At 39.2% G+C, this 25,677-nt stretch overlaps 1 protein-coding gene and 1 long non-coding RNA gene across 2 annotated transcripts in view; both read right to left on the bottom strand.

Moving 5' to 3' along the window:
• LINC00630 (long intergenic non-protein coding RNA 630) overlaps positions 1-25,677 on the bottom strand; it is a 195,371-nt gene that overhangs the window by 22,997 nt on the left and 146,697 nt on the right. The gene's annotated exons all lie outside the window — the stretch shown is intronic.
• Positions 3,227-4,255, bottom strand: RAB40AL (RAB40A like). Its single transcript, NM_001031834.1, has one exon. The coding sequence runs from the start codon at positions 4,206-4,208 to the stop codon at positions 3,372-3,374; it is 837 nt and encodes a 278-aa protein (NP_001027004.1). The 5' UTR covers positions 4,209-4,255; the 3' UTR covers positions 3,227-3,371.

Raw genomic sequence — 25,677 nt, 5'->3', positions numbered from 1 at the left:
ATCTACGAAATGGGAATTAGTAACAGTTTCTACCTTGTAAGGGTGCTCTGAAAATTGAATGACTCAATGCCTAAAAAGGACTTGGCAAATAATATGTTTTAGCTATTTTAATTTCTTTTCTTCTGTCTTTACTGGCCATTAGTATCTCTACTATCCCTATGGTATAGACTCATGTTTATTCATAATCAATAAACTTTGAGGTATGTTCTCAGTGAAACAAGCAAGTTATGATATTAAATGTAGGATGAACCTTATCTTTTGAAGATAAGTATATAAATGCATACATTTCTGAATAAATTTATAAGTACCTGCATAAGAAAACTTCTGAAATATTACACAGATGAAAACATTAGGATGTTTATTTCAACATTCTTGATCTATAAATGTGAAAAAGAAGTGGCTGTAGACCTTGGTGGGTTTCATTTCAGTGGTGGGGTGGGGGAACAAAGCGCCATTAGATGAGCAATGAGGACTGAGGTGGAGGAATGTGAGTTGAGTATTGAGAATTCTTCATAGAACTTTGGTTACAATGGAGAGAATATATGTAAAGAGAACCGTAACTGTGGATGTAGAGAGGGGTCCAGGGTATTAAATTATGTTTTAAAATTATCAATGATAAGAGACCCTTTCAGGTTGAATATTAAGAGGAAGGGGCCATCTCTTTTTAGATCTACAAACTGAATTCACCACGCCCCTATTTCCACACTTTACTTCCTTGTTTCTATTCTGGGGAAGCCTAAAACTTCACAAAAGGGATCGTGTAGAGTTTGGCCTTAATGTCTATTAACTGCAAGGATGGATGGATGGATGGATGGATGGATGGATGGATGGATGGATGGATGCAAGATGTGTCAAACAGCTGCTGGTAATTTATGGTATTTTATCTCTCAGGACAGAGTTCTCACACAAGTGACTGAATCTGTGGCATTGGTGGCTGAGAGCAGGCAATTTTTCAGGTCTCTGCAAGATGGGAGCACCCAGCTTCAGTGTTCAGAAGCAGATTTAGGCCGACTTCCGTACCTTACATCCTGGAGGGATCCACCCTGACTTGAGCAGGTGAGGTCACAGACAGGCTTGCTTTCCACAATGGGGAAAAGATTACAGCCTGCTCAGAAGCGTGTTGTGGTCCAGCTCCTGTGTCATTCAAAAAGACTCCATAAAGTGCAGATCCAGATCCTCTCCAAACTTGAACTCAACCAATGTCATGGAGAGACATTCTTAATCCCCTTCTATGAAAACAGTGTCATTAGAAGCACCCAGAGGCCACACACACACCCTGGAAATGTAATGCCAGCAGTAGCTCTAGAACCTGCAGACTCAAGTGCCTGTTGCTCATTGTTTTTAGGCTACATGTGAAAATGGACCATTTTGCAATAAAAACATAATGCAATGATGATTATTAGAGCATTTTGTATACTAGGGATTTTTTTAAGTTATCTGAACATCAAATTAAATATAATGACAATGAAAGAATTTCCACCTGTCATATCATCAAAGTATAAAAAGAAACCATTCAGGATTCCAGTAAGGTGGGCACATGCAGGGAAGTCTACCCTGTTTCATATTGGTGGTGGGGATGTCATTTAGTACAACCTCTTTCCAGGTTGATTTGGTAATTTCTATTAAAGACTCTATGCATCCCCGATCTGCATGTGTTTAGGGCCTGCTCCTTCAAGTATTCATCCTCAGCATGACCCCTGTCCCTCTGAGAGTGCATATTCTTCCTGATACAGGAACTGTCTGCGGACTCCAGTTTCTAAAGCAATGGCCCAGACACACTCCCTTGTCTACAGAGTAGGAAATTTAGGTCTGACAAGGCTGTCTTTCAGAAGAGAGACAGAACTGGGAGCTTGGCTTCAGAGCTGAAGATACAGATTTCAGTAGTGGCCTGGGTCAGCAGGAAAGCAAGATTTGCTTGGTTATGGTGTGATGTGCAGCTCAGCGTCACAGTCTGCATGGGGGCATATAGGGTGCCGGTCCCTGCTTTTCCACTTAGTGGTAGGATGCTCCCCAGCCAGGTTGCTTAACCTGCAAACATCACTGTTTCTTAAGCTACAGGATGGTACAGAGATTATATCCTCTACCTCCCAGGAATGTTGTGGGAAATTCATGAGATAGAAAAGTACCAGAGTTCAGGAAGGGTGAGTCCCCAAGGCTCCCTGAGGCCAGAGGTACTGCCCTTCTGCGGGACTTTATGTTACAATCAACCTATGACAATGCACAAATAAATGGTCATTCAATTACAAAAGAGTACAAGGACTTATATTTACTCAGTTCATCCAATATCAATTATAATAACCCACAGTGTAAACTGGAAAGTAACTACATGGAAATCACTTCTCCTTCCTTCCCATCTAAGGTCTCAGAAGTGCTTTCCCAGATGTGATCTCATTAACCTCTATATCGATCTGAGAGGTGTTAACCAAAACTGGCCAGCACAGGGGAAATTACTCACCTAAGGCCTTATAATGGGCCTGGCCCCCCGTGTTCTATTGCATTGTTTTTCTGCAAAGCCTAATCTTGCAGGGTTACATTATACATATTTTTCTTTCTTTTTCTTTTCGTTTTACCAAAAGATAAAAATATATACTTTTTTATTGTTAAGAAACATTTTCATAAATAAGTACTTATTTCATTCCTTACTGAAATGGCTTTTTTCTTACTGACCCATTGAAACCATGTTGGCTATGTTCAACATAACTAGAGATATCTTTGGCGTTTTCCTCCCTTAGCTTCATATCTTGTAGAACATCTTGTACAAAAAAGTAGATTTACAGAAAAACATACATATAAATCACTTATTAATCTCCAAATGTAGTAAAATAACATAGCAAAAACTTTATCAAATCCATTTCGTGCACAAACTGGACAGATCTGTTACGTATAATCTCTATATGCATCTGCAGTGTTTTATAAATTGGTGCTTTGACATCAAAAAGGAGGTTTACAAAAAGTCCCCTCTAGTAATATCAATGACTCGGAATGATCTCACTATCATTGCATCTCAAATTCCCTTGAATTTATACTCATCACTGTCATATCACCATTCTTACAAAAGCGGTTATTTTAAGGAAAAAGATGCAGTGTGATTATGATATAAGTAACATTCAAAATTTCATGTTATCAAGAGTTAAGCAGAGTACTAATTTCCCCTTTATAAACACATGCACATCCACGTAGAAATTCAAAGTCAAACTGCGTAAAGTGCTTTTATTGACAGAAGGCATCACACACATTCCCAAGCAGCATTGTTCCCATGAGAAACTGAAAACGTATTTCTTTGAATCTAGAATGCATCTTCCCTCTTCCAGGTGTAACCATTCAGAGTTTTTCCTGGAGCGATTCCAGCTTGTTTCCTTTTGGTGCCTTCCTTAAGAAATTTTGCAGCTGTTTCTGGTGCAGTTTTTGGGTGGGCTCTGGGGTGGGCAGACGATCTTCACTTTGCAGAGGCTGCTCCTTTTGTGAGTGGAGCTGGTGGTGAGGGAGTAGGAGAGGCCTCGCATCATCCTGGCATTCAGGCCCTTAGCCATGGAGAAGGACTTGAGGTGGCTTCTTAAGGCAATGGGGAGCGGGAGCTTGTCCACCAGATGCACAGGTGTGCAGGACACGATGGTGCGGCAGCAGAGGTCTTGCAAGCTCAGTACCTTGCTCGGCCTCCCGAGCCAGTTCAACCTGTGCCGCAGCAGCACTATCCTGGCCAGCTCCGTGAAAGACTCTATGATGTTGAAATTGCACAGAGGGCTGACCTCAAAGAAGGTCACGCCCAGGCGCTCGGCGTAGGCCTGGGCCTGCTCCCTGGGCACCTGCCTCTTGAATGCCAGATGTAGGCGATTCCCCACCAGGATTTTAGGGACACCAGGGGCATGTTCCTCAATCTTCTTAATCCATCGATCCATACCCTCGAAAGACCAGCGGTTTGCAATGTCGTAGACCAGGATCACTCCTTGTGCACCACGAGAGTAGGAGCGGAATATGGTACAAAATCTTCCCTGCCCCGACGTATCCCAGAGCTTCAGCTTCACCCGCTGGCCGTCCAGCAGGATGGTGGTCGTCTTGTAGTCGATTCCCCCCAGGTGACTGTACGGGGACTCGGCCGTGCCGTCCTGCAGGCTCTCCAGGATCTCACTCTTGCCTACGTCCCTGTCGCCCACCAGCAGGAACTTGAGCAGGAAGTCGTAGGCCTGGTCGGGGCTGCCCGGGGCGCTCATCGTGCTGGCCCCGCCCCCCGCCTGGGCCAGACCAGCAAGGTTGTGCGCAGAGGCGGTGCCGGGCCTATTTTTCTTGAGAAATTAGCATAGAACATAAAAAATGGGATGGGGAAGTCTACGAAATAAAGTGAAATGAGGTGGTGGCTTTGATGGTTTTCTTTTACAAACCCTGGGAAACCGGTTCAGCGATTGTTTTCCTTTTTCTTACCCAGCACAGAGTAGTGACACAGCAGTTAATTCATCATGGAAACCTATACATTTCCCTTAAAACTTTCATGTGATCGTTATGGAACCATGCCTTTTGGATTATGTCAAAGGAATCTCCTTTAAAGGAAGGACGGGTATGAGATAGGAAGCAGACTAAGATGTGTTGAGTACCGTATGTACCCTACGCTGTGTATGACGCTTAAAATAATTTGTTCTTTTACTTCTCAGAACAATTGTCTTTGGTAGCTATGATTGTTTTCATTTTACAAATGAGAAAAGGCAAACTCAGAAATGTTACGTAATTTTTAAAAATCTTGCCGTTAGTATAGAGATCACAGAAATCACAATCCTGAGCCAGTGCTCTCCTTATATAATGCCCCACACATCCTTTCTACTCTGTGGCCATGCCGGGTTTAGGAGTAAGTGTGAACTGTCTGTGCATGTGATCCTTGACAAGCCACGCATGTTTGCATGGGCACTAACACATTTTTTGCTGCAGGGGGACATCTCCCATAAATATAAGAGCCAAGATCTCAGAAGAAACATCTAGGATATGGATTTTTCTAGAGTGTCTCATAAATAATATTCAGCCAAGAAAGATGTGTTGAAATAACGCATGCATAGATCAATGAAGGGTTTTAGATTTAACACACGTACAGATCCTATAACAAAACAGCAAAACTGACAAAATATATAAATGGTTCATGGATGATGAAATGCAAATGGCCAATAATCATAAGAAAATGCATTCTAGCTCACTAATATATAAGGAATGCAAATGCAACTATCTAAATATACTTTTATCACCTATCGTTTGACAAAATTTCAATGTAGAAAAAACTGAATAAGAATTTTTTTTTAATTTGCAAAAGAAAAAGGTAAAAGTGGCTCTGTGTGTGTCTGTGTATGGGGGCAGGATGAGGGACCAAATACATCAAGGAAATGGAAACACACTTCTCAGTTATAAATGCATTTAAATATTGTAACTACAACAGGTATAAAGATGGTTAAAGGAATGAGAATGCTCAGACACATATAAGGGAGTTTAAATTATTGAAATCAAGCCCCAAGGGATAGATGTGTAAGCATGTAATGGATGAAACATTTTTCACATGTACAAAATAGCCAGGTAAGAGGTTATTTGCTACAGTATTGCTGAAATCTTTTTAAAAAGGAAAAAATGAGAAGCATTCTAAATACTCATCAATACAGAACAAACAATAACAAAGTTGTCTCCCTAATTTACACAAACTCCCCTAAAGACATCGCCATGATCTGAATGGTGGAATCTGACCATTTCTTAAGCCTTGGAAGTGCATCTTCTAAAAGGGAGGTGCTCTCAGGGTCCTCTAGGGAGGGTGAGGGATAGAACCTCATTCCAATCCTGCCACTTACCTCAAGAGGCGACTTAGGTTCTGTGAGCCTGAGCTTGGTCATCTGTGAAATGGGACTGACTATACCATCCTCACGGAGTTATTCCCAGGCATAAATGGGAAAACCTGTCCAGGGTATATGGCATGGAATGGGAGGCTTCAATGGCCCTTTAAATATTGAGACATAGCAGTAGGGGTTAGCTGAACCTCAAGGCCAAGGCAGGCATCGTGAAAAATCATTACTCATTGTTTCTCCTAATGAAAACACAGACATCCATATAAAGAAGGCAAATCTCCCTGATACACCTTGATTTCAGAGTTTTAGAGATGGAGTTCTCTACATTCTTGTGTGTTTCATAATCTCACGAAAACTGTTCAACATCATGCCTCCGAGAAGACACAAAACCAGTTCCCCATGCTGGTAAGAAAAAAACTGATCGGTGTAAATGTAAAAACATATGCTCCAGGGCATCCACAAAATGAAACACCAGGTAGCAGTGACGGGGCTGTAGAAAGGTGACGGAGAGAGGTCGGAGGCACTGGAGCAGCATCTGGGGAACTGTGTCTATAGTGTCCTGGAGAGGGGAAGACTGAAAGAGAGTGTGAGAAGGTCTGAGAAGCCTGTACAGGGATAGAGTTATGGAGAGTGAATGCCTTGCTCTCTGGAGGGACCCCTCCTCCCCCGCCCCCGCCCCCGCCCCCTCCGACAGTGTGGACACTTCAACCTACACTGAGAAGGGAAGAGATGATAAATCAGTGAATGCGATGTAGATTTAGGGGTCAACAGCAAATGGACCTGCTTTAATATACATGTGAATTTTCCAAACAGAACTGGAATCAAAGTAAACAAGTCATTTTGAAACATGTTACTCTGCAAAATGTACAAAAACAGAGATAGCTCTGATGCCTCCTAGTGGCCAGAGACAGAAACGCAGCTCTGATAATCTCAAACCAGGGACTCAGGAAGAGGGAGGCATGGAGGTTGGAGGTTAGCTCCAATGTATCAGCCACAGTTTTCTGGAATTATTCACCTAATGGTAGCAATTTCCATGTATCCATCATGTTCCAGAATATATGAAACTGATATTGGTTCCAATCCCCGCTGGAACTAAAGTTGCATCCATGATTTTGTATTTGGGGTGGTAGAGCTAGAGGACACACCCACACAAACACCCACACACACACACAAAACCTCTGTCAATTGGACTTGTTATTTACTTCTTTCACAATAAAATAGAATATAAGGAATGCTTTTTCAAATTAATGGACATTATGTACACCTTAACTTTGACAATTTGTTCCAAAGTATTTTGTGTGTTCAAATTTTCATCAGAATACTTTTATTCCCAAATACCAGTTTTTGAACAGTACACAAGAGCATATTGATAAATCAAAATTAACCTGAGCTCTCACTGGTCAACTCCCACTCCTTAACCCCAAGGGGTCTGCTGTTCCTAGGATGGTGCATACTCTCCAGACATGTCCCTGAAGGTGAGGTACACATCAACACGTTCACCTACACACACACATTGTCTTCTCCAAAAGTGCAATCATGGTACTTATCTTTTGCATCTTGTCATTATAAATTCTCAAGATTTTAAAATATTTGCATTTTATTAGTTCTTGTGGGGTTGGCGTATTTTAGTATGTTTATTGTTCATGTACATTTCATTTAAATTCTCTGTTGAAATAGTTGCCATTTTGTTACTATGTTTCACAAATCATGGATACTAACCCAATTAAACTTCAAAATTTGACTTTAAAATTACACAGATCTTAAATTTCAAAGAAAAAACATTGAAAAACACCTGGGGAGCAGGTACTGCCAGCCTGGAGGGAGATTAGAGCATTCAGGGCCCTGGAGGAATGAAGAGAAATGATAAAAGTCTAGAGTATTACAGAGTTTGTGCTTATCAGGAAACAACAAAGTTGTCTCCCTGATTTACGTAAACTCCTCTAAAGGCAGCAGCCTAATTTGAATAATGGTGATAATGACCTTGGGTAGCAGTTAAGATTAAAGGAGATGAGGTGTAAAGTGCATTTGCTTACAGTAATTCAGTGCATGTTTCTTTCCTTCTCTGCAGCTCACCTGTCCCAAGGCCAACACCTGAGCTTCTGCCTGAGCCCACTTGCCACTTTAAGGATCAGCCCTCTCATGTGGCCCTACAACCAGATCTCATGGCACAAAGCACAGGATTTCACTTCCCCTGTCATCTTCAGAGGAGTTGTTGAGTGGGAACCCATGGGACTACAATAGCAGGGGAGTGGAATCTGACCATTTCTCAAACCCTGGAAAGCCATCTTCTAAAAGGGGGTGCTCAGGGTCCTCTAGGGAAGGTGAGGGATGGAACCTCATTCCAATCCTGCCACTTACTTGGAAAAGTGATTTAGGCTCTGTGAGCCTGAGCTTGGTTAGCTGTGAAATGGGATTGACTATACCAACCTTACAGAGCAGTCCTGAGGGGTAAATGAGAAAATCTGTTGAGAATATACAGCAGGGAGTGGCCTTTAAGTATTGGTACACAGCATGAGGGGCTGGCTGAGCCTCAAGGCTAAGGTAGTCATCATGAAAAAATCACTTCTCATTGTTTCGCCTAATGACAACACAAACATCGTGAAGAAAGAAGCAATCTCTCTCTGAAATGCCTTAAGTTCAAAGTTTTAGAGACCAAAGGTCTCTGCATTCTTAGGTGCTTGAAAGTTCCTAAGAGCTATTCAACATCATGCCTCTGAGCAGACCCAAATCCACTTCCCCATAGTGGTAGGACAGGAGCGTTTGTGAACTCACCTGGTGAGCTCCACGACAGATCACATCAGGGACACAAGGAGTGGCAATTATCTAATGAGTGCTCCAGCACTGCTCAGTATTTTAATATGTTTATAGGAATCCTGTAGACCGGTTCTGCAGTAAACAGTGCAAGGTTCCCAGATCACACATTATCCAGCTACATTACAAGAGGATTTCAGCTATCCGCTGCCTCCTTGAGAGGCAAAAATCTAGGAATTACAAGAATTTCTATAACAGACAATTTTCTATTCTTTCATTAGGTAATAACTGAAAGTGTATTGAGCTTTAAAAGCATACTAGTCTACTGGAGGTGTCTCATTAACTAAAGTGGAAAGAGGGTAAGAATTCAAATGAATATATGGGTAACTTCATGGTTCACATTTGAGAGGAGATGGTTTCTTCAAATTAACTTTAAACTTTCTCAAACTCCAAAGAATTGAAAATTCTTTTTTGTTTTAAAAATCCTTTTTTGTTCCTCATCACCTGATACAGTTCGAATATATGTCCCTGCCAAATTTCATGTTGAATTATAATCCCCAGTGTTGGAGGTTGGGCCTGGTGTGAGGTGTTTGGGTCATGGGGGCAGATCTCTCAAGGCTTGGTACTGTCCTCATGATAGTGAGTCTCCTGAGATCTGGTTAAGTGTGTGGCACCCCCCCGCCCCCCCACCGCTCCCACCGCCACTTTCTCTCTCCTGCTTTCACCATGTGACATACATACTTCAGCTTCACGTTCCATCATGAGTAAAAGCTCCCTGAGGCCTTCTCAGAAGCTAAACAGATGTTGGTGCCATGTTTGTAAGCCTGCAGAACCATGAGCCAATTAAACATCTATTCTTTATAAATTACCCAGTCTTAGGCATTTCTTTATAGCAATGCAAGAATGGCCTAATACATCATCAATTCAATTCAGCCACAGGATATCTTTCTTTTCTCCTCTCCCCTCTTCTCTCTCCCCTCCTCTCCCTTTCCTTTCCCCTCCCCCTCCCCTCCCTCTCTCCCTCTTTGACTCTGTCTTTTCCTTCTCCTTCAAAAAATTTTCTAATTTTCTACATTCTCTATTAACATTATTTCCCATTTACTCTTTATCCCACTGCGCTGTGGCTTCTGTCCCCAGGATTGCAATGAACATGATCTCGCCAAGGTTACAATCCCCTTTTTGGTCACTAGGTTCAGTTTTTTGTTTACATATATAACCATACTGAGTATTGCTTTCAATGAACTCATAAAATATGCATGCTTGTCCAGTCGTTTCTTTAAATTTAACACAAATCTGTGACAGGCTCTGGAGCATGAGGTACTGGACACAAATCCAAGCTGTCCCACTCCCTAACTATGCAGTATCAAGCAAAGTCTTTATTCTCTCTGTCATTCAGTTTTTCATCTATAAAATAAGGATTAGTCACAGTATCTACCTTGTAAAACAGCTGTGAGCACTGACTGACTCAATACATTAAAAGCATACAGTTCATAAGAAATGTTAGTCATTTTAAATTCTTTTTACATATCTTACTGGCATTAGTATCACTGTAGACATGAAAAGTAGGATATCAGCCAATGAATAGTTTCCTAGGGCCACCATAACAAATTATCACGAACTTTGCACATTTAAACAACAGAATTTCATTATCTCATGGTTCAGAAGTATAAAACCAAAGCCCAAAGTACAAAACCAAGGTGTAGGCAGGACCACACTGCCTCCAAAAGCTTTAGGGGAGAATCCTTTCTTAGCTCTTCCAGCTCCTCCTTTATTTGGCTTGAGGCAGCATAACTCCAATCTCTACTTCAATCTTCACATGGCCTTCTTCCTTGCATGTGTCAAATCTCCCTCTGCTTTCTTTTATATAGACACCAGTCATTGGAGTTAGGCATCAACCTACATTCAGGATATTTACTTCTGGAGATCTTTCACTTAATTATATCTACATAGACCCTATTTCCAAATAAAGTTTGGGTGGGTTAGGTTTGGGACATGTTTTGAGGGGGACATAATTCTACCCACTACAGTTAAACACGCAAGTTACACTACAAATGTTAGATAAGGTAGCTTTTATATGTTAATATATAAATGCTGTATGCATATTTAATCTAGGTTTTTATCCTCTGTGTATGAAGTACTCTTAAACAACAGAGATAGGTCAATTATATCAAGAGACAATGCAATAAAAACCAATATTAATCTCCCCAAAACACTTGTAGACACACACACACAAAATGAAAAAGAATCAGATTTGGACAATCAACAAAGTCATAAATTATAATGTAGTATATGGTTCCATTGTGAAAAAATATATATATCTATCTCTCTCTACATGGGTTTATATGTATGTGTGTGTGGCTAAAAATAAGTTAGTGTACTACATGGAGAGAAAAAAGATCTGGAGAATAGATACGAATAAATTAATACAGGCCATCTTTGTATTATGGAGATGGAGAAGATTTAGACAGAATATTTTTAATTTCTAATATACATTTCAATTATGTTTCATATGGCTTAAACAATAAAAAAAGTTAATAATGTGACAAAGTCATTAAGATAATGTTTTGTAAATCAGGAAAATCTGTGACCCTAGTCACAAAATGATAGTGTAGAAATACATTTATTGACTAAGAATCACATTCATATGCTGTGGTATAAAAATAGTATATTAAAAAGATTTATTTAATAAATCAGTATATTTGCCTTGGAGGGAGATAGAGGATATTTGTTTTATAAATTTGCAATTCCCTAGTGTTTTAAATGTGGAAATTTCATTGTTCAAAATGTTAAAAACAAAAAACACTGTAATTGTGACCTGATTATATTTATGATGCCCACATATTCATTGCTCTGGAAACATGCATATAGAAAATTCCAGAAAGCTTTGTTCTCTACAATTCTATACAATAGAATACATGTGCCTCCCTTACTCCACTCAAATCTCCTACCCCTTTCCAAGCTCTTGGTTGACTTTAATTTCTGCAATTCTGACTCTGGGCACCAGGTGAGAGCATTCTGTATTTCTTCCAATGAAAAGGCATAATTTGTATAAACAGAAACAAAATTTTCCTCAAAGTAGATAATGAAACAATAAGTACAGCATGACCACAACTCTCTTTGAAAAATTCATGTTTACAAAAAGATGGACAGGTCATATACATAGTTTTGTTTCCTTGCATACTCCTATGTCTACATCTAATTAGTTTATTAAATAGGTTTTGGGTGTCTACTTCAGAGGTTCAAACATCTTATGATGAAATGCTACTGGAAATTTTATAATGGATGGATCAGGGTGACAACACTGAAATACAGTGATCAATTTCAAGCTTACAGGAGGAGAGACAACCAGACCCAATGAACCTACTAATTTGACACTTTAGTAATAAAGGACACCACTTCTGAGGTACTCTTGCTGAATAAGCTGAATTTGATCAAACTTCTAAATCTAATTACCAATTTAAAAGAAATAAGAGAGGCTAGAGGAAATTAATAAACAACACAATAAGAATCCAATCAGCAAAATCCATAATGCACCCTCCAAAGGATGAAAGATCCAGTTTTCTAAGCAAATAAATAGAAAGGTTTTTTTTTTTAAACAACAGATAGCTTTTAAGAGACAACACTTCAAGGAGAGTTAAAGAGAAAGTAAAATTAAAATCACAAGGAGATACTATCACATGTCTACCAGAAAGAGAAAAATGAAAAAGATAGAAAATACCAAGTGTTGGTGAGGATGTGGAGCAGTAGAAGTCTCAACATTGCTAGTGGGAATATAGATTGGAACAACCACTTTGAACAACTGTTTGACAGTATCCACTGAGCTGAAGATACACATGTCATATGACTCAGAAATGCCACTCTTTGGTGCATCCCTAGGAGAAATGGCCTCACCCATCAAAGGAAATCAGACCAGCCCTGCCTTTCAACCAGTTGAAGGATAGAAACCAGAATAAATGTGATTTCCATGTGTAAAAGCACTCGGAGTTCCTGAAAGGGAATAGAATTAACTGTAGAAGTCCAAGGAATTATTTCAACAGCCAGGTTGTCTAAGGAAAACTTAACTGTGATGATTATTACCTTTTTAAAAATAATTATACTTTTGTTTTTACATTATCTTGTTTGTTTTTCTTAAATAAATATCATCTGGTACATGGAAGAAAGGCTACTGAAGGATAGTTATCACTCAAAGACATATGGTCCTGTCTACCATCAACCACCATTGGCTGACATGGTTTGGCAAATGTCTTTTCCTCTTTTCTAAGTATACTGGTTAGGAGTGTTGGCTGTGGAGACAGACTAGGGCCCAACCCTGCTTCTTAAATTTGTGGGACTTTGAATACATTTGCTTCAGCTTGCAGTAGCTCAAATGCTTCATCTGTAAAACAAGGATAATAGAGTACTGACCTAAGAAGACAAAATATTTTTAAACAAATATTGCCTTGCCATTTTGGTCAGGAATCCCATAATTTTAAAAATTCTACTGCGGAGATATCAGCATAACTGGCTCTCTGTGACCTTGTGAGAGTAACAGAATTACTCTATACTTCAGTTGTCTTTAAGGTACAATGGGGAAAACAATTATCCCCACCTCATGGGTTGTTGTTTTGAGAATTACTTGAGTTGAGGCACAAAAGCCCTTAGAACAGTGGTTGGCACATAGTAAACTGCTCATTAAATGTGAGTTTGCATGTTGAGATTTTTCAAGTTCTAAAAGTTTGACAGTTTGCACGTGTCTTCAATAAAGTTTAATACAACAGAATCTTAATCATCAACTGATGCATTTTAAAATAACTTCTTTTCACTACAACCACGTTTGGATGACCTAATTACCTTGAGAATATCTCAAGAGCAAATGGAAGGACTGCTCTCAGAAAACGGTGTCATTTCTCCACATGGCTATACAAAAAACTGAGGGGTCATCCTTGACTGTGCCTTATCCCCATGCACCCTACACGCACAGCCACTTCAAGTTCTGCCTGCTGTACCTCCAAACACGCCCTGTCCAGGTTCACTCCTCCCTACCTGCACACAGCTGCAGCCCTGGTCCCATCCACCTGTGCCTCTTCCCTGGACTTCTGCAATATTTTCCTAATGGTTATCCCCACTCCCTATCTTGTCCCTTTCCAGTCCATTCCCCACACAGCAGTCAGAGTCGCCTTCTGACAACAGGAATCGCAATCAACGGCACATTTACAAATTGTAATTCACCTGAATCTCTCACTAGCCCTACTCCAACCTCTGACCCAAGGGATCTGTTGTCCTAAGGATGTTGCATACTCTTCAGATGTGTCCCTGTAGGTGAGGTGCACATGAATACATTCACCCGATTCACATAGTCTTCTCCAAAAGTACAATCACAGTCCTCATCTTCTGTTGCAATTTTTTTCCACTTTATATAAATTCTCAGGATTTTTAAGTATTTGCATTTTATTAGTACTTTTGGTTTTGGCATATTTAACAAGATTATTGTTCATGTTTATTTTATGTAAATTTTCTGTTGAAATGAATTACCAATATCTTTGTCATTAGTGTGTGTTACAAATTACGGATACTAATCCTATATATGGTACAGTTTGCAAATACTTTCTCCAATGTTTTAAGATAATTCTTAATTTTATTACTATCGAAATTGATTTTCAATTTCAAAAATATTATGACTTAAAAACTTTACAGATCATTTTTTTTTTTAAGAAAAATTTGAATGCTCCCATTGGAATGGCAGCCCCCAGGGAAATTAGATCATTCAGGGACCAGGAGGCATGAAGACAAAATGAGGAAAACTTTAGAATAACTAAAAACTAGTTGCTGATAGGGATTTTATCTCCTCTATCATCTTCATCACCTTGAGAGGTTGAAGAGTGAGCACCTCACCTCTGGGGCCACAATAGCAAGAGAGTGGAATATGACCATTTCTCAAGTCCTGGAAGCCCAACTTCTAAAAGAAAGGTGCTCAGGATCCTCTAGGGAGGGTGAGGGATGGAACCTCATTCCAATCCTGCCACTTACCTAGGGAGGTGACTTAGACTCTGTGAGCCTGAGCTTAGTCATCTGTGAAATGGAACTGATTATACAATTGTTACAGAGCTGTCCCCAGGCATAAATGAGAAACGTTGTCCAAAGTATATGGAATGGAGTGGGACTTCAATGGCCTTTAAATGTTGAGACATAGCAGTAAGGGCTGGCTGAGCCTCAGGGCTCAGGAGACATTGTGAAAAATCATTTCTCATTGTTTCTCCTAATAAGAACACAAACATCTAGAAGAAAGAAGCAAATATCTCTCTGATATGCCTTGAGTTCAAAGTTTTTGAGATAGAAGGTTTTCTATATTCTTAGGTATTATCAGAAGGTCACAGGAGTCATTCAATATCATGCCTCTTAGCAGACTCAGATCAAGTTCCCCCACACTGGAATGACAAACATATTTGTGAACTCACCTGAAGAGCTCTGTGATAGATTGCATGAGGAAAGCAAAGTATGGTGTTTGCTTAATAGCTGCTTCTGGACAGTTTGGTATGTTAATATGTTTATAGGAAAAATCTGAACCTGTCCACCAGTCACCAGGGCAAGGGTCCTCAGATCATGCATGATCCAGTCACATCACACCAGGATTTCAGCCATCCTCTACCTCCCTGAGAGGCAAAAATCCAGAAATTACTAGCATTTCTGTGACACACAGTTGTCCGTTCTTTCCTCATCTAGTAACTATATTTGTATTGAGCTCAAAACATATACTAGTCCATTGGAGACATCTCATGAGCTCTAAAGTGGAAATAGGAGAGTAAGAAACAAAATAATATATAGGAAAATTCAAGGGTTAAATACGAGATGAAATGGGTTCTTCACATTAGCTTTTAAACTTACTGAAATTTCAAGAAATTGAAGATTTTTAAAAATTCTTCCTTTAACCCCTCACCGCCTATTCAGCCACAGGATTGGATATCTTTCCTCCCCCAACTTTTTTTTCTCTCTTTCCTTTTTTCCAACCAAAGTTAAAGCTCTAAAACGAGTTTTCTGCACTTCCTACAAAACTACAATGAGATATCATCTCACTCCAGTTAAAATGGCTTTCTGCAAAAGACAGGCAATAACACATGCTGGCAAAGATGTGGAGAAAAGGGAACCCTCATACACTGTTGATGGGAATGTAAATTAGTACAACCACTGTGGAGAACAGTACGGAGGGTCCTCAAAATCTAAAAATAGAGCTGCCATATGACCCAGCAATCCCACTGCTGGTTATACATCCAAAAGAAAGAAAATCAGTATATCGAAGAGTATCTTCACTCCCATGTTTGTTGCAACATTATTCATAATGGCCAAGATTTGGAAGCAACCTAAGTGTCCATCAACAGATTAATGGAAAAAGAAAATGTGGTACATATACAGAATGGAGTACTATTCAGCCATAAAAATAAAGAGATTCTGTCATTTGCAACAACATGGATGGAACAGGTGGTCATTACATTAAGTGAAGTAAGCCAGGCACAGAAAGACAAATATCACATGTTCTCACTTATCTGTGGGACCAAAACTCAAAAAATAATTGAACCCATGGAGATAGAGGGTAGAAGGATGGTTACCAGAGTCTGGGTAGAGGCGGGGAGGTGAGGGAGAGGTGGGGATGGTTAATGAGTACAAAAAATAGAATGAATGAATAAGGCCTAGTATTTGATAGCACTACAGGGTGACTACAATCAATAATAATTTAATTGTACATTTTAAAATAACTAAAATAATATAATTGGATTGTTTGTAACACAAAGGAAAAATGCTTGAGGGGATGGATACCCCATTTTCCATGATGTGACTATTATGCATTGCATGCATGTATCAAAATATCTCATGTACCCCATAAATATATACACCTATCACCCACAAAAATTAAAAATTAAAAAAAAGCTTAAAGGATATTGAGTGTTGATTTTTCTCTCCTTCCCCAAACACTATTGGAAGGTTAAAAAAAAAATTTCCTGAAATCATAAAACACGTGTTTTCCTGTGTCTGGCTGTGTTCAACCAACATAATATATATGTGATTTACATTTTGTTGTCTGTAGTTGTAGATAGTCATTTTCATTGATGGATGGTATACATGGTATGGATATTTCTTTTCTTTTGAGATGGAGTCCAGCTCTGTTCCCCAGGCTGGAGTGCAGTGGTGTGATCTTGGCTCACTGCAACCTCCATCTCCCGGGTTCAAGCTATTCTCCTGCCTCAGCCTCCCGAGTAGCTGGGATTACAGGTGCCCACCACCATGCCCAGCTACGTTTTGTATTTTTAGTAGAGATGGGGTTTCATTGTGTTGGCCAGGTTGGTCTCAAACTCCTGACCTCAGGTGATCTGCCCGCCTCAGCCTCCCAAAGTGCTGAGATTACAAGCGTGAGCCACCGCACCCGGCCTGTATGGATATTTCACGACATATGTATCTGGTATGAAGGTTTGCAAATTTTGACCTACTATGAATAATGGTGCTTTGAACATTCTTGTACATATCTTTTAGATGGACGTTTATTTTTACTTTACTTCGACATATATGATTGAGTGGCATTTCTGAGTTAGGGTATATGTATGTTCAGCTCACTAGACACTGCCAGTTTTTCAAAGTGTTCCAATCCGTATTCCCACCAGCAGTGTTGAGAGTTCCACTGCTCCACATCCTCACCAACACTTCACTTGGCATTTTCAATCTTTTTTATTTCTTGTGGGTCTATGGTGGTATCTAATTATGGTTTTAAATGTAATTTCTTTGATTTAATTTCTCTTTAATTTAACTCTGAAATGTTTCGTCTCATTTAATCTAAAGTGGGTTCCACCGCATTTTTTTTTAACCTTCTAATTTATTTGCTTAAAATCTGGATCTTTAGTCTTGTGGAATGCTGATGCTGTTAAATACCTTTCTGCATATGGAGGTGATCATATAATTATTTCCTTGGCTGTATCAATATACTAGATTATAGTAATAGTTTTATTGATATTGAAACATGTTTATATATATAAAAGCCCCATAAGGTCATGACCTGTATTTTATGTCCTCTTTTGTTTACTAATATTTTATTTAAGAACATTAGTTCATATTCTGTGATGAGATTATTCTGGAATTTCATTTCTCCTGCAGTTTTTGGCATGTTTCAGAATCAACTTTATGTACTTGCTTCATTGTTTCATATATTCCCTATGCCCTTCGACTATTTTAAATAGTATTGGTATTATCATACCTTGAAAGTTTTGCTAGAATTCTCTTTGGGAAAGCTCTGGGTCTGGTGCTTTTTGAAGGCAGATAATTTAACCAAATTCACTATGTCTTGTATGCAATTGGTCTGTTAAGACTTTTTGTGTTTCTTGAGGCCAGTCTGGGTAAGTTGTGTTTTTCTAGAAAATTACTGATTTTATCTGTTTCCAAATGTATTTGAATAGAATTATGCAAATTTTTCAGTTAAGAGACTTGAAATTTCCTTCGTTTTGAAGACCTTGTCACCGTTTCTGTTTCAAAATTGTGTATTTGTGTTTTCTTCAATTTTCTTGAATACTTTACCCAGTGACTTTTCATGTTTTTGGTATCTCCTCAAATAAATCTTCCTTACTTTTACATATAAATTATACTGTAGTTTGCCTTTTTAACCCATTTATTTCTGTTTTAACCTTTAACTATTCAACTGCATTCTTTTAGTTTATGTTGTGGTTCTTTATCTGGCTTTTTGAATTGATTGTTCAATTCCTTTTTATTGATATAGCTATGTAATGCATAAAAATATTATCTGACCACTGCTCTAGCTGTAAATTCTGAATATGTTCTGTTTTTATTTTCATTACTCTCATTGCATTCTACAATTTTAATCTGTATTTGCATTTGGGCCCAAGCTTAACAGCCTCAGATATTAGTATGATTTTTCATATATCTCATTGCTGCTTCTGCAGTTTTCCTCTATAAAACTACATTTTTGGCTGGGTGTGGTGGCTCACACCTGCAATCCCAACACTTTTGGAGGCCGAGGCGGGTGGAGCACCTGAGGTCAGGAGTTCAAGACCAGCCTGGCCAAGATGGTGAAACCCCATCTCTACTAAATTAGCTGGGCATGGTGGCAGGCGCCTGTAATCCCAGCTACTCAGGAGACTGAGGCAGAGAATTGCTTGAAACCGGGAGGGAGAGGTTGCAGTGAGCCAAGATTGCGCCACTGCACTCCAGCCTGGGCGACAGAGTGAGACTCCACCTAAACAAACAAACAAAAAAACCCAAACAAACAAATAAACAAAAAAACTACATTTGTGTTGTGTGACTAGGTACACAAGTATTAATACATAATGTATTCCTAGTGAATTTTAACCTTTACTATTATTAGGTGTGCTTTTTTATCTTTTAAAATCCATTTTGTTCTCAATTCTGCCCTCTTAAAAATTAAGATTGTGAAAAATATTCCATGCTCATGGATAGGAAGAATCAATATTGTTAAAATGGTCATACTGCCCAAAGCAATTTACAGATTCAATGCTATTCTATTAAACTACTAGCAATGTTTTTCACAGAACTAGAATAAAAATTCTAAAATTCACTTGGAACCAAAAGAGAGCCTGAATAACCAAAGCAATCCTAAATGAAAAGTGCAAAGATGGAGGCATCACACTACCTGACTTCAAACTATAATACAAGGCTATAGTAATTAAAACAGCATGGTACTGGTACAAAACAGACACGCAGACAAATGGAACATAATAAAGAACACAGAAATAAAGCCACACACCTACAACCATCTGATCTTCAACAAAGTTAACAATAACAAGCAATGGGGAAAGGACTTCCTATTCAATAAATGGTGCTAGAATAACTGGCTAGACATATGCAGAAGATTGAAACTTCACCTTTACCCTTCAAAAATCAACTCAAAATGCATTAAAGACTTAAATGTAAAACATAAAACTATAAATACCCTAGAAGAAAACTTAGGAAATACCATTCTAGACATCAGCCCTGGCAAAGACTTCATGATGAAGACACCAAAAGCAACTGTAGTAAAAACAAATATTGACAAGCAGGACCTAATGAAACTAAAGAGCTTCTGCACAGCAAAAGAAACTATCAACAGAGCAGACAGACAACCTACAGAATGGGAGAAAACATCTGTAAACTATGCATCTTCCAAAGGTCTAATATCCAGGATCTATAAGGAACTAAATCAACAAGCAGAAAAACAACCCCATTAAAAAATGGGCAAAGGACATGAACAGACACTACTCAAAAGAAGATATACACATGACCAACAAGCATATGAAAAAATGTTCAATATCACTAATCATTAGGGAAATGCAAATCGAAACCACAATAAGATACCATCTCACAACAGTCAAAATGTCTATTATGCAAAAGTTAAAAAGTAACAGATGTTGGTGAGCTTACAGTGAAAAGGGGATGCTTATACACTGCTGGTAGGAATGTATATTAGTTCAGCCACTGTGGAAAGCAGTCTAGAGATTTCCCAAGTAACTTAAAATAGAACTACAATTCAACCCAGAAATCCCATTACTGGGTATATTCCCAAATGAATATAAATCGTTCTACCATAAAGACACATGCATGTGTATGTTTATCACAGCACTATTCACAATAGCAAAGACATGGAATCAACCTAGATGCCCATCAACAGTGGACTGGATAAAGAAAATGTGGTACACATACACCATGGAATACTACAGATTCATAAAAAAGAATGAGATCATGTCCTTTGCAGCAACATGGATAGAGCTTGAGGCCATTATCCTAAGCAAATTACTTTTACTTTGATGTTCTTTTGTGCCATCTTCTTTCACCTTCTATTTGGACACCGAAATAGCAGCCTCTCCTTGAGGACCAGAAAGCAGACAGCATAGAGTAACAGAACATGAAGATGAATCTGCTGTACAACAGACTGAAATCAGGAGACCTGGGTCCTCAATAGCAGATTTAGCTTTGTGTAAAAAAGACCATGAGAAGTCAGCTGGCCTGATCTGGCCTCATCCCTTTCACAGGAAAAGACTGACATTCTCAGGGGTTAAGGACACGAGCCTCGGAGTCAGAGTGAGTACAATATTTCGGCATACTTAATTACTGGTTTTATGATATTTAGGAAATGTTGAGTCTCCAGACAAATGAAACCCATATGTAATGGATATATATTAAGTATGCCTGCATAGAGAACAAAGTGGGAGGAACTATACAAAAAGGACAATTTATCAAAAATTAATAAGTGGGAGGGGTCAGGGATTATTTATTTATTTCTGAGCTTGACTATGCTTTCCACAATTTATAAATTAGCATGGAGCTTTTTAAAAGTCAGAATTTTTGCTCATAGAAACAGTATTTGTTATAAAATAGTTCAGACATACAAAAATTATAGAATGTGAGAACTTTCTATGTAACCATGCTAACATATAAAATAGTATATAGGCAATCGATAGTCACATTGAAGTCTGATTGTATTAGCCTCCTACTTCCTCAGAGATAATCACTATACAGAATTTGGATTTTTCATTTTTAAGACATTACCTTATAATTACACATGTACATACCTGTATGTAAAATATGATATTGTTTTGTAGCATGGTTTTCTCTCTAAATACCTGGCTACCTCATTGAAGAAGAAGAAGTAAGAAACCTGAGGAGAACAAACATGCATTCATATCTCAACAGTGGGACCTGCTATATATATATGTCTCCAAGTCGTGTGTATTATCTTTTAGACTACTAAAACAGACACATCCAGGTCTCAGTTTATATGCTATAGAGAGCGGTAAAACATTCTACAGTTACTATTTTCAAACTCTTCTTTTATCTGATATGTTCAATGTCTCAGTTTTCCTGTGGCTAACTTGCCTAAAACAATCTCAGTGTATCTTGAATGCAAGACATTTTCTCATTTGTCTGGGGCTAATTTTCTACCTTTCTTTCAAACTGTTACTAATTTAGGCCTGTCCTTTATAACCAGAACCTAATCTAGACCATCCTGCTGAAAGAAGACAGTATTTTCTGGGAGTTAGTTTTCATGTGTTCAGACTACTGCCCAAATCCCTTAGATGGTATAGGGATGCATTCCATTTAGAACTTGATTTGACATCTATTACAAGTGCTGGGCATGTGTATATTTTCCTTTTATAACTTTTAATTACATAAGGAAGGTACTTGTGTAATTATACATCATAGTCAAGATGTAGAATTGACCTAAAAGTTCATCAGTGGATACACAGGTAATGAAAACATGGTGTATTAATTCACATTTGTTGATTGCTCCTGGGACCCTGGGCTGAATGAGACTATGACTATACTTCTACCCCGAATCCCGCTGTGTCAGGGTTCCCCTCTCCTTATCCTCCCCATTCCCCCACTGAAGCTGTAATGCTGAACTCTGAGTGATTTCATGAAGACCATCCCGCTTTCCCGTCTCTGTGGCAGTCACTGCTTGGCTAACTAGGTGGGATAAGCAGGCAGTAGGAAGTGAAGAATGTTAACAAGGACTGGAGAAAGGTCTTTTAGGTAGTTTAAATTTGAAGGAGAAGAGAGAGACCCAGAGATAGGACATAGAGGTGGAGGGGGCAGGAGACAGAGAGAGAGAGAGAGAGAGGAGGGGAGGGGAGGGGACGGGAGGGAGAGGGGAGGGGAGGAGAGGGGAGGGGAGGAGAGGGGAGGGGAGGAGACAGGAGGGGAGAGGAAAGGAGAGGTATCAATCCTGTGGCTAAATGTGTATTGAGGGGTCCAAGAGGAATTTTTGAAAATCTTTCATTTCTTAAAAGTTGATCAAGTTTAAAAATTAATGTGAAGGAGCATACCATCTTAAAACTAATCTTTGAAGTTAGTGATATATTATTTTCATTCTTACTCTATTATTTCCATTTTAGAGATCATGAGATGCCTTTAGTTATACAGGTATTGAGCTTAATATATATTTAGTTATTAATGAATGAAGGAATGGACAATTGTGTGTATAGAAATGGTAGTAACTCTTGGATTTTTGTGTTTCAAGAGGTAGAAGATGGTTAAAATACTGCTGTGATGTGGCTGGATAATGCATAATCTGAGGGTCACCGCCCTGGTGGCTGTGAAACAGTCTAGAATTTTCCTGTTTTACATATATGTGTGTGTGTGTGTGTGTGTGTGTGTGTGTGTGTGTGTGTGTGTGTATAAAACTTTTTCTTTTTTTGAGACAGTGTTTCACTCTGTCGCCCAGACTGGAATGCAGTGGCCCGATCTCAGCTCACTGCAACCTCCGCCTCCCGGGTTCAAGCGATTCTCCTGCCTCAGCATCCTGAGTAGCTGGGATTACAGGCGCGCATCACCATGCCCGGCTACTTTTTGTATTTTTAGTAGAGACGGAGTTTTGCCATGTTGGCCAGGCTGGTCTCGAACTCCTGACCTCAAGTGATCCGCCCACCTCAGCCTCCCACGGTGCTGGGATTACAGGCATGAGCCACTGCACCCTGCTTTCCTATAATATATTAATATACCAAACAGTCCAGGAACAACCATTAGGCAAACTCCACACTTTGCTTACCTGGTGTTATCTATCACTGAGATCACCAGGTGAGTTCAAAGACATGCCTATCTTCCCAGCATGAGGAACTGAATTTGGGTCAGCTCAGGGACTTGATGCTGAACAGCTCTTATGAGCTTCTGATAACACCCAAGAACTAGAGAAACAGCTGTCCATAAATCTTTCAACTCAAGGTATATCACAGGGACATTTGCTTTCTTCAACTAGATGTGTATTTTTCTCAAAAGGGGAAACAGTAAGAAATGATTTTTCACACTGCCTCCTTAGCCCTGAGGTCTGCCAACCCCTACTTCTGTGTCCCAACATTTAAAGACCACTAAAGTTTCACTCTATGCCATATAGTCTGGGCAGGTTTTCTCATTTACCCCTCAGGAAAGCTCTGGTATTGTCAGTTACATTTCACAGATGACTAAGTTCAGGCTCACAGAGCCTAAGTCACTTCCCCAGATAAATGGCAGGATTGGAATGAGGCTGATCCCATTAATCAAGCTCCCAACTCCATCCCTCCCTTCCCTATGCTGAACCCTGCCTCCCCTGCAACCTGGTCTACTCTCAGAGCTGCAACCTTGGCTCTGGCTACCAGAAGGCACATCATAGCTATCTCAATTTTTGTTTTTAAATTAAAAGCAGCTTATTTTGCATAGAGTAACAAATATTACAAGTTTTCTGTGGTTGTTTGGAAAATTCACATGTATATGAAAACAGTTCCATTATCTGTTGACCCCAAATCTACATTGCATTCATTGATTTTTCACTTCCCTCCTTGGTGCAGGTTGCAGTGTCCACATTGCAGGAGGGTGGGTAGGGGGTCCTTTTCAGACAGCAGGGCATTCAGCCTCCTCCATTACCCCACCCCTATACAGGCTTCCCAGATTTCCTCCCACCTTCTCTCTGTCATTCCCTTTTCAGGACACTATGGGCACAGCTGCCCAGACCCTGCTCCTGTGCCCTCATCCTCTCTCTGTCACCGCCCACTGCCCCACACTGCCCTATGGCTGCCCGCCTAGGATAGCCAAGGATGTCCTGCAGTTTATTTTTTTTTCCGTCTTCTTTTAAACACATCAGTATCTTTCTGACAGAATCATTCTGTACCTGGGTTCATAAGGTGGGTCGTAAGGAGGTATTGTAGTTTTTGCTCCTTGCGGACACTTCTTTGCTGAAAAGTTTGATAATGGTGGTACCGTGGTGCCCTTTCCCGACACAAATCTGCATTGCAGCTAGAACAGGAAGGTGGGAAGGAGAGATTGTGGCCCAAGCCCACCCTATAAAGCTTTCTGGAAATCTTGGTGGAAAAGTGAGCATTCCCAGTGTATAGGGGTACTGAAGGACTCCAGACAAAAATTGCTGCCTTTTACTATGCCGAGAAGAGAGCTCTATGTGAGAGGAAGACAAAATATTTTAATTTTTATTCTTTGACCCCTGGATAAATAGAGACCTATATAAGAAAAAAGGGATCCAGGCTACTTGTTATCTTTGTAACCCTCTTTACATCTTTATTACTATCTTTTCATGGAAATACATTTCTATGATAACATTTGAAATTACAACATAATATCAATATTTTTTATGGACCCAGTGTTTCATTTATATGATATCCTAAAGTTTATTTCCACAGTAACCTAGTGGTGAAAATTTAGTTCCCTTACCATAGTTTCTATTACAGACAATGGTATATATAACACTCTTGCTCATATGTACAAATATTTCAGTAATAATTTCTTTATAAGTTTTTGAAAGAGTATCTTTAAGCCCCAGACACTTAAAAATTTTATATCAAGATGATGAAATCAAAATACTTTTACTTTTTTTAATTTTTTTTTATCTAAATAGGTTTTTGGGGAACAGGTGGTGTTTGTTTACATCAATAAGTTATTCAGCGGTGATTTCTGAGATTTCGGCACACCCTTCACCCAAGCAGTGTACACTGTACCCAATGTATAGTCTTTTATCCCTCAACACTCCCCACTGTTTCCCCTGAGTCCCCAAAGACCAATGTATCATTCTTATGCCTTTGCGTCCTCATAGCTTAGCTCCCACATGAGTGAGAACATACACTGTTTGGTTTTCCATTCCTGAGTTACTTCACTTAGAATAATAATCTCCAATTCCATCCAGGTTGCTGCGAATGCCATTATTTCTTTTTTTTATGGCTTAGTAGTATTCATATATATATATATAATATATATATATATATCTCACATTTTCTTTATCCACTCATTGATTGATGGGCATTTGGGTTGGTTCCATATTTTTGCAATTGCAAATTGTGCTGCTATAAACGTGTGTGCAAGTATCTTTTTTGTATAATGACTTATTTTCTTCTGGGTAGATACCCAGTAGTGGGATTGCTGGATCAAACGGGAGATCTACTTTTAGTTCTTTAACGAATCGCCACACTGTTTTCCACAGTGGTTGTATTAGTTTACACTCCCACCAGCAGTGTAAAAGTGTTCCCTTTTCACCCCACCTTACTCAAACATCTATTATTTTTTTATTTTTTTATTATGGCCATTCTTGCAGTTATAAGATGGTGTTGCATTGTGGTTTTGATATGCATTTCCCTGATCACTAGTGATGTTGAGCATTTTTCCATATGCTTGCTGGCCATTT

This window comes from Homo sapiens, chromosome X (genome assembly GCF_000001405.40).
Source record: "Homo sapiens chromosome X, GRCh38.p14 Primary Assembly".
NCBI classification, from domain to species: domain Eukaryota; kingdom Metazoa; phylum Chordata; class Mammalia; order Primates; family Hominidae; genus Homo; species Homo sapiens.
This window is presented reverse-complemented; position numbering and strand designations above follow the sequence as displayed.